Below are 9,038 nucleotides of genomic sequence, written 5' to 3' on the forward strand. Positions count from 1 at the left end.
GGCACTTGTCACTTCACTTGTACTCAGGATATCAAGCCATTGCTATCCTATACTTTAGGAAGGTTGCTGGGTCAAGGGTATGCATTTTAAATTACCAAGAATATGAGTGAATACATTTAACAATACAGTGTTAGTAATTTTGATAACATTGTATTTTTAATTTGCATGTCACATAAGTGAGACTGAGCATCTTTTCATTTAAGAGCTATTTGTGAACTGTTACTGTACTTTTAATTTGGGTTTACGCTACTATGATGTTAAAAAATGTTTTTGACTGACAATAATTATATATATTTATAGGCTACAGTATGATATTTTGATATATGTATACCTAATGGAAAGATTAAATAAGCTAATTATCATATCCATCACTTCACCTATTTATCATTTTTTGGTGGTGAGAATCTTTAAAATCTACTCTTTTAGCAACTTTTAAATATACAATGCATTATTAAATATGGTCACCATGCTGTGCAACAGATCACTAAAATTTATTCTTCTGACCTAACTGAAACCTCTTACCCTGGGATCAGCATCTCCCCTTTCCTCTTCCCCACTCTCCATCCCTATCCTCTTGTAATCACCATTCTACTCTCTCTCTTTCTGAGTTCGACTTTTTTAGATTCCACATATAAATGAAATCATGCAGTATTTGTCTTTTTGTGCCCAGCTTATTTCACTCAGCAAAATGTTCACCATGTTCACCCATGTCACAAATGACAGAATTTCCTTCTTTTTAAAGGCTATGTAGTGTTCTATTGTGTGTGTGTGTGTGTGTGTGTGTGTGTGTGTGTATCCACATTTTCTTTATCCATTTATCCATAGATGGACACTTAGGTTGTTTCCGCATCTTGGCCTTTGTAAATAATGCTTCAGTGAACCTGGGATTGCAGGTGTCTCTTCAACATACTGATTTTAATTCGTTTGGCTATATATCCAAAAGTAGGATTCCTGGATCGTATAGTAGTTCTGGTTTCAGTTTTTAGATGTTTTAGTTTTCTGAGGAACCTCCATGATGTTTTCTCAAATGGCTATACTAATTTACATGCCCACCAACAGTTTATCAGGGTTCTCTTTTCTGCAGTCCTCACCAACACTTACCTTTTGTCTTTTTGATAATAGCCATTCTAACAGGCATGAGGTAATAATAGCCCAGTGTGATTTTGATTTGTCTTTCACTAATGATTAGAGATATTGAGCATATTTTCATCTATCTGTTGGTCATTCATGTCTTCTTTTAAGAAATATTCATTGAGCTCCTTTGCCCATTTTTTAATCAAGTTATTTGTTTTGTTACTATTTAGTTGTTTGAGTTCCTTATATACTTTGGATATTATCCCCTTATCAGATAGGTGGTTTGCAAATATTTTCTCCCATTCTGTGGATTGTGTCTTCACTGTTGTTTCCTTTGTTATGCAGAAGCTTTTTATTTGGATGTATATGTCTGTTTTTGCTTTTGTTACCTGTGCTTTTGGGCTTCTGAGAAATCATGGCTCAGATCAGTGTTGGGGAGCTTTTCTCCTGTTTTTTTTCTAGTAGTTTTACAGTTTCAGGTCTTAAATTTTAAGTTGATTTTTGTATGTGGTATGAGATAGGGTACAATTTCATTCTTATGCAAGTCGATACCCAGTTTTCCTAACACAATTGACAAAACATTCCCCATTGTTCGTTCTTGGTACCTTTATTGAAAATCAATTGACTGTAAATTCATGGTTTTGTTTCTGGGCTATCTGTCCTGTTCCATTGGTTTAAGGTGTCTGCTTTTATGCTATTATCATGCTGTTTGATTATAACAGCTTTACTTTATACAGCCATGTTCCACATAACAATATCTCAGTCAACGACAGACTACATGTAAACAGTGGTCCCATAAGATTATAATGGAGCTGAAAAACTCCTATCATCTAGTGATGTTATGTTATAGTGCAACATACTACTCGTGTTCGTGGTTATGCTGGTATAAACTAACCTCCTATTCAGTCATATAAAAACAGCACATACCATTATGTACACTACAGTATATAATTGATAATGGTAATAAACAACTATTACTGGCATAAGCTGGTATATAACCAGCTTATAAACAACTATTACTGGCATATTACTGGTATTTACTATGATTCTGACCCTGTGTAGGCCTAGGCTAATGTGTATGTTTGTGTCTTAGTTTTTAACAAAGGTTTAAGGGGTAAAAAATAATTTTAATAATAGAAAAAGCATGTAGAATAAAGATATCAAAAAAGAGGCCGGGGCATGGTGGCTCACACCTGTAATCCCAGCACTTTGGGAAACCGAGACAGGTGGACCACTTGAGGTCAGGAGTTCGAGACCAGCCTAGGCAACACGATGAAACTCCGTCTTTGCTACAAATGCAAAAAATTACCCGGGTGTGGTGGCACATGCCTGTAATCCCAGCTAGTCTGGAGGCTGAGGTAGGAAGATTGCTTGAACCCGGGAGGTGGGGGTTGCAGTGAACCAAGGTTGCACCACTGCACTCCAGCCTGGGTGACAGAGCAAGACTTTGTCTCAAAAAAAAAAAAAAAAAAAAAGAAAAGGAAAATATTTCTGTATAGTTGTACGATGTGTTTGTTTTAAGATAAGTATTATTACAAGAGTCAATAAATTAAAGAAGTGGCCGGGCATGGTGGCTCATGCCTGTAATCCCAGCACTTTGGGAGGCCAAGGTGGGTGGATCACCTGAGGTCAGGGGTTTGAAACCAGCCTGGCCAAAATGGCAAAACCCCATCTCTGCTAAAAATACAAAATTAGCCAAGCGTGGTGGTGCATGCCTGTAATCCCAGCTATTTGGGAGGCTGAGGCAGGAGAATCGCTTGAACCTGGGAGGTGGAGGTTGCAGTGAGCCAAAATTGTGCCATTGCACTCCAGCCTGGGCAACAAGAGTGAAACACCATCTCAAAATAATTAAAGAAGTTTATACAGTAAAAAAGTTACAGTAAGCTAAAGTTAATGTATTATTGAAGAAAGAAAAACGTTTTTTATAAATTTAGTGTAGCGTAAGTGTACAGTGTTTATAAAGTCTATAGTAGTATACAGTAATGTCCCAGGCCCTCACATTCACTCACCGCTCACTCACTCAATCACCCAGAGCAACTTCTAGTCCTGCAAGCTGCATTCGTGGTAGGTGCCCTATACAAGTATACTGTTTTTTATCTTTTATACCACATTTTTACTGTACCTTTTCTGTGTTTAGATGCACTAATGCTTACCATTGTGTTATAGTTGCCAGCAGTATTCAGTACAGTAACATGCTGTACAGGTTTGTAGCCTAGGAGCAAAGGTCTGGGTGTGTAGTAGGCTATCCTACCTAGGTTTGTGTAATATACTCTATGTTTGCACAATGACAAAATTGCCTAACCATGCATTTCTCAGGACATATCCCTGTCATTAAGCTACACATGACTGTACTTTGAAATCAGGCAGTGTGATGCCTCCGACTTCATTCTTTTCACTCAAGATTGCTTTGGCTATTCGGAGTCTTTTGTGGTTCCGTGTTAATTTTAGGATTTTTTTTTTTCTATTTCTGTGAAAAATGATGTTGGAATTTTTTTTTCTTTTTGAGACAGAGTTTCACCCTTGTCGCCCAGGCTGCAGTGCAATGGCACAGTCTCAGCTCACTGCAACTTCTGCCTCCCAGGTTCAAGTAATTCTCCTGCCTCAGCCTCCCGAGTAGCTGGGATTACAGGGGCACATCACCACGCCTGGCTAATTTTTGTATTTTTAGTAGAGACGAGGTTTCACCATGTTGGCCAGGCTGGTCTGGAGCTCCTGACCTCAGGTGATCTGCCCACCTTGGCCTCCCAAAGTGCTGGGATTACAGGTGTAAGCCACCGTGCCCGGCAGAATTTTTTTTTTTTCTTTTTTCCTGAGACAGGGTCTGGCTTTGTTACCCACGCTGTTGTGCAGTGGTGCAATCTCGGCTCACTGCAAACTCCACCTCCTGGGCTCAGCCTCCTGAGTAGCTGGGACAACAGGCTCCAGCCACAACACCTGGCTGATTTTTTGGTATTTTTTATAGAGACAGGGTTTCACCATGTTGCCCAGGCTGGTCTCGGGCTCCTGAGCTCAAGCAGTCCACCTGCCTTGGCCTCCCAAAGTGCTGGAGATTACAGGTGTGAGCCATCACACCTGGCCTGCCATTGGAATTATGATAAAGATTGCGTGGAACCTATAGATTGCTTTGGATAGTATGGACATTTTAACAATATTCTTCCAGTCCATAAACAGAGGATATCTTACCATTTATTTGTATCATTTTCAGTTTCTTTCATCAATATTTTATAGTTTTCAGAATGCTATTAAGGTTTTTTTTTTTACATTTATTAAGTTCTACAATTACAGTACATTGCTGCAAACAGTGTTCTGTGGCAGAAATATAACATGGTGGCTCACACCTGTAATCCCAGCAGTTTGGGAGGCCAAGGCGGGTGGATCACTTGAGGTTAGGAGTTGAAACCAGCCTGGCCAATAGGGCGAAACCCCATCTCTACTAAAAATACAAAAATTAGCTGGGCGAGGTGGCGCACACATGTAATGCCAGCTACTCAGGGGGCTGAGGCAGAAGAATAGCTTGAACCCAGGAGGCGGAGGTTGTGGTAAGCCGAGATTACACCACTGCACTCCAGCCTGAGTGAGACTCCATCTAAAAAAAAAAAAAAAAAAAGAAGAACCAGGAATGGCATCCTAGAGTTACTGGGGCCCTTTTCTCAACTACACAGATTGTCAAACTTGGCAATATTACAAAACAATTCTGAAGACAATAAAATTATCTCTAAACCTAAACTGTCCAGTAGAGTAGCCACTAACCCCTATAGCTATTGAGCATTTGAATGTGGTCAGGCCAAACTAAGGTGTGCTATAGCAATATACAAACTACATTTCAATGACTTTGTACAAAAAAGAATGTAAAATATCCCTATAATAAAAAAAAGACGTAAAATATCCCATTAATCATTTGTTAGTTGATTACATGTTGAAATGATATTTTGGATATGTTGGGTTAAGTAAAATGTTAAAATTTCAGCTGTATTTTTTTTTTCTTTTCCGATGTGGCTACTAGAAAATTTAAAATGACACATGGCTCACATTTTACTTCTTTTAGCCAGTGCTGCTCTAGACTGAGTTTGCATGAGGTGTAACTGTCTAGAGCTATAGTGACATGTAAGTAATATACATGCTTTGTACAAAATCTCCCTATAAACTGCTGATTTTGAAATTGAAGTCATGAAAGACAGATTGAACCGATAGAGTCCTTTGAGAGTCACCAGTTACTGGTCCACTCTCTGTATCCTTTTGATATTTGCATTTGGCAAGTATAAACCCGACCAGGATAGGGGATGGGGGGAGGAATCCACTGGTTATTTGATGCAAAAAAAGAGGGAGAAAAAGTGGGGGGGTGCACTTATAGTCCCAGCTACTTGGGAGGCTGAGGTGGGAGGATCACTTGAGCCCAGGAGTATGCGTTTAGCCTGGGCAACATATGAAACCCCATCTCTTTTTTAAAAAAGGAAAAAAATGGTGAATAAGAGCAATGGTCATTGGCTGACAAGTAACAAACTATACATAAGAGAACTGTTAACCTAGTAGAGATTTTCATTGTGATCTATTACCTACAAAGTCTTCCTGTGGTTTCTCTTTAGGGGCAAGCTCTGTGTGATTGATTGGAAGACATCAGAGAAACCAAAGCCTTTTATTCAAAGTACATTTGACAACCCACTGCAAGTTGTGGCATACATGGGTGCCATGAACCATGATACCAACTACAGCTTTCAGGTCAGGACACTGAGCCTTTACTTAAAGCTTTGCTCAATGCTTACTTAAAACTATAACTCCGGGCCGGGCGCAGTGGCTCATGCCTGTAATCCTAGCACTTTGGGAGGCCAAGGCCGGTGGATCACTTGAGGTCAGGAGTTCAAGACCAGCCTGGCCAATATGGTGAAACCCTGTCTTTACCAAAAATACAAAAACTAGCTGGGCATGGTGGCTCATGCCTGTAATCCCAGCTATTCTAGTAGCTGAGGCAGGAGAATTGCTTGAACCCGCGAGGTGGAGGTTGTAGTGAGCCAAGATTGCGCCACTACACTCCAGCCTGGGCAAGAGAGTGAGACTCCATCTCGAATCTGTCTCAAAAAAAAAAAAAAAAACTTCTCAGTGGGGGGGTAGGAGGAGAAAAATTGTAAAAAAAAAAAAAGTTAAAAAATAGAACTCCTTGAGGTTTTTCCTTTTTTAATCTCTATTTTTATCCCATTGCTTAACGTCTTCCTTGTTCCTTTCCCACTTAAAAAAGCACTTTTTGGCTGGGCACAGTGGCTCACGCACTTTGGGAGGCCGAGGCAGGCAGATTGCTTGTGCTCAGGAGTTTGAGTCCAGCCTGGGCAACATAGTGAAACCCCGTATCTACAAAAAAAATACAAAAATTAGCTGGACATGGTGGCGCACACTTGTGCCAGCTACTTGGGAGGCTGAGGTGGGAGGATTGCTTGAGCCCAGGAAGTGGAGGTTCCAGTGAGCCGAGATTGTACCACTGCACTCTAGCCTGGCCGACAGAGCAAAACCCTGTCTCAAAAATAAATAAATAGGCCAGGTGTGGTGGCCCAAGCCTATAATTCCAGCACTTTGGGAGGCCGAGTTGGGCAGATCACCTGATGTCAGGAGTTCAAGACCAGCTTGGCTGACATGGCGAAACCCTGTCTCTACTAAAAATACAAAAATTAGCTGGGCGTGGTGGTGTGTGCCTCTAGTCCCACCTACTTGGGAGGCTGAGGCAGGAGAATCGCTTGAACCCAGGAGGCGGAGGTTGCGGTGAGCCAAGGTTGTTCCACTGCACTCCAGCCTGGGCAACAGAGCAAGACTGTCTCTCTCCAAATAAATAAATAAATAAATAAATAAATAAATAGCACTTTTTGGCCAGGGGTGGTGGCTCATGCCTGTAATCCCAGCACTTTGAAGGAGGCCGAGGTGGGCAGATTGCTTGAGCCCAGGAGTTCAAGACCAGCCTGGGCAACGTGACAAAACTCCATCATTACTAAAAATAGAAAAATCAGCCGGAAGTGGTGCCCGCCTCAGCTTCGAGGGTGCAACGAGCCGAGATTGTGCCACTGCACTCCAGCCTGGACGATGGGAGTGGGATCCTGTCTCAAAAAAGAAAAAAAAAGCACTTTTCCACCCTCTTCTTGGGCCTTTTTTTTTTTTCAATGGCTCTGTAAGGATCACAGCCCAGTCTTCAATGTTTTATCTGTCATCTTTGTGTTCTTGTGTCCTGGTGCAGTCTTTGATCAACCTACCTTAGAAACTGAGTTAGGAGATATCCTGTAGATTATTTTATACTGAGTTTGCCCTGGAGTAAGAAGGAAACGAACCTAAACTCTGGACCTACTGTAGTGAAACGAGAATTGCCCTGTGTTTCTTCCTAGGTTCAATGTGGCTTAATTGTGGTGGCCTACAAAGATGGATCACCTGCCCACCCACATTTCATGGATGCAGAGCTCTGTTCCCAGTACTGGACCAAGTGGCTTCTTCGACTAGAAGAATATACGGAAAAGAAAAAGAACCAGAATATTCAGAAACCAGAATATTCAGAATAGGGAGCAAGTTGCTATTTGGGAACATTCAGCACCTTCTCACAGTTTGGGAACATATATTGCTGTTTACTCCAGTGTAAAAATGAGGTGCCACTGGATCTGAGTGCTACACGAACACAAGTAGAAGTATTAATTTGTTGAAATGTGTTGTTACCAAAAAGACTGAAAAGCCCCAAAGTCTAGATATAAAGACCTAGACTTCGGCACGCGAAATCCCAGCTATGCTACCTCTTATTTACCTGAAAGGAGGACACGCAGGATGGGCAGTCATGCTGGTGACTCTTGTACTCCCTTGAGGGACATTGGGGGGGGGGGGGCGTGGTCCCAGGCAGGATGCCCAGTCTTTGAGCTGAGATTGGAAGGCAGTGAGGCTGAGGGTGCCAAGATTTCCCCAGGGTTCACCCAGAGGGGAAGGGGCTACATGCCCCCAGCTGTGTGCAGGGAGGACACATCAGCCCACTACCGCTGCCAACACCAATGCCTAAAACTTGTTTCATACATTGGGGTTTTCTATATATTTCAGCTGGGAAAAGCTTACATTTAACCTTTTGAAAAAATAAATACGTGATTAGCCTCAACTAAACATTGCTGACTATAAAGACAGTATATTCACCATGTCGCTGGCAATATGTCATTGCGTAACACCAAATAACCCCCCAGAAGTAGCCAGAGGCCAGTTTGAACATCACAATTCTAAGTGTTTTAGTAACTATTTCTGGCGTGAGTCAACAGATCATGTAGATAGAGTCAATTATTGTTTGTGGAGTTTTTCAGCTATAGGGGAGGGGAACTATTAAAATCCATTTGTTTCTATTCAATAGGTAATAAAAATTAGTTGTCCCTGGGTTTGGGAAACTTAAATGCCCATTACAGCCCTGGGGAAGGGTTTTCTGTCTTATGGAGTGAGTCTTAGCATTTAAGTTATACAGTTGCTGCCTTAAAATAGTAGCCTGCTACAATGACTTCTTTGGGTAGCCATTTTCATAAGAAATAAAATACAAGATATGAGTAATGAAGCTTTGGTTTTGTTTACTTTGTGTGTTTATAGGATAATTTTATAAACCTGGAAATTGTTTGCACTTTTTTTATAATTCAGAATTTTACAAGCCCAATAGCTTTGGTGAGAGTTCTGTGTAAGTGCATAAAAGAAAGCGTCCTCGGCTGGGCGCAGTGGCTCACGCCTGAAATCCCAGCACTTTGGGAGGCCGAGGCGGGCGGATCACAAGGTCAGGAGATCGAGACCATCCTGGGTAACACGGTGAAACCCCGTCTCTACTAAAAATACAAAAAATTAGCTGGGCGTCGTGGCGGGCGCCTGTAGTCCCAGGTGCTCCGGAGGCTGAGGCAGGAGAATGGCGTATACCCGGAAGGCGGAGCTTGCAGTGAGCCGAGATCACGCCACTGCACTCCAGCCTGGGCGACAGAGCGAGACTCCGTTTA

At 41.7% G+C, this 9,038-nt stretch overlaps 1 protein-coding gene across 15 annotated transcripts in view, besides 1 other annotated feature; it reads left to right on the plus strand.

Annotated features, from left to right (window-relative positions):
- Positions 1-8,614, plus strand: part of MGME1 (mitochondrial genome maintenance exonuclease 1) — a 22,533-nt gene extending 13,919 nt beyond the window's left edge. For 9 of the 15 annotated variants that reach the window (XM_017028128.2, XM_011529394.1, XM_047440582.1 and 6 more), the window contains 2 exons: positions 5,658-5,790; positions 7,431-8,614. In XM_017028128.2, coding sequence (XP_016883617.1) covers positions 5,658-5,790; positions 7,431-7,601 — 304 coding nt within the window. In that variant the 3' untranslated portion in view covers positions 7,602-8,614. The remainder of the gene's footprint in view (positions 1-5,657; positions 5,791-7,430) is intronic. The other 6 variants (XM_047440586.1, XM_047440584.1, XM_047440585.1 and 3 more) reach the window with 1 other exon arrangement.
- Positions 904-1,857: an enhancer, noted in NCBI's record as "NANOG hESC enhancer chr20:17964055-17965008 (GRCh37/hg19 assembly coordinates)". NCBI's record gives its function as "activates a minimal SCP1, AML or CMV promoter by ChIP-STARR-seq in naive and primed H9 embryonic stem cells {active_cell/tissue: H9 hESC(naive and primed)}" and the evidence as "EXISTENCE:reporter gene assay evidence [ECO:0000049][PMID:30033119]".

Source organism: Homo sapiens, chromosome 20 (genome assembly GCF_000001405.40).
Source record: "Homo sapiens chromosome 20, GRCh38.p14 Primary Assembly".
Lineage (NCBI taxonomy): Eukaryota > Metazoa > Chordata > Mammalia > Primates > Hominidae > Homo > Homo sapiens.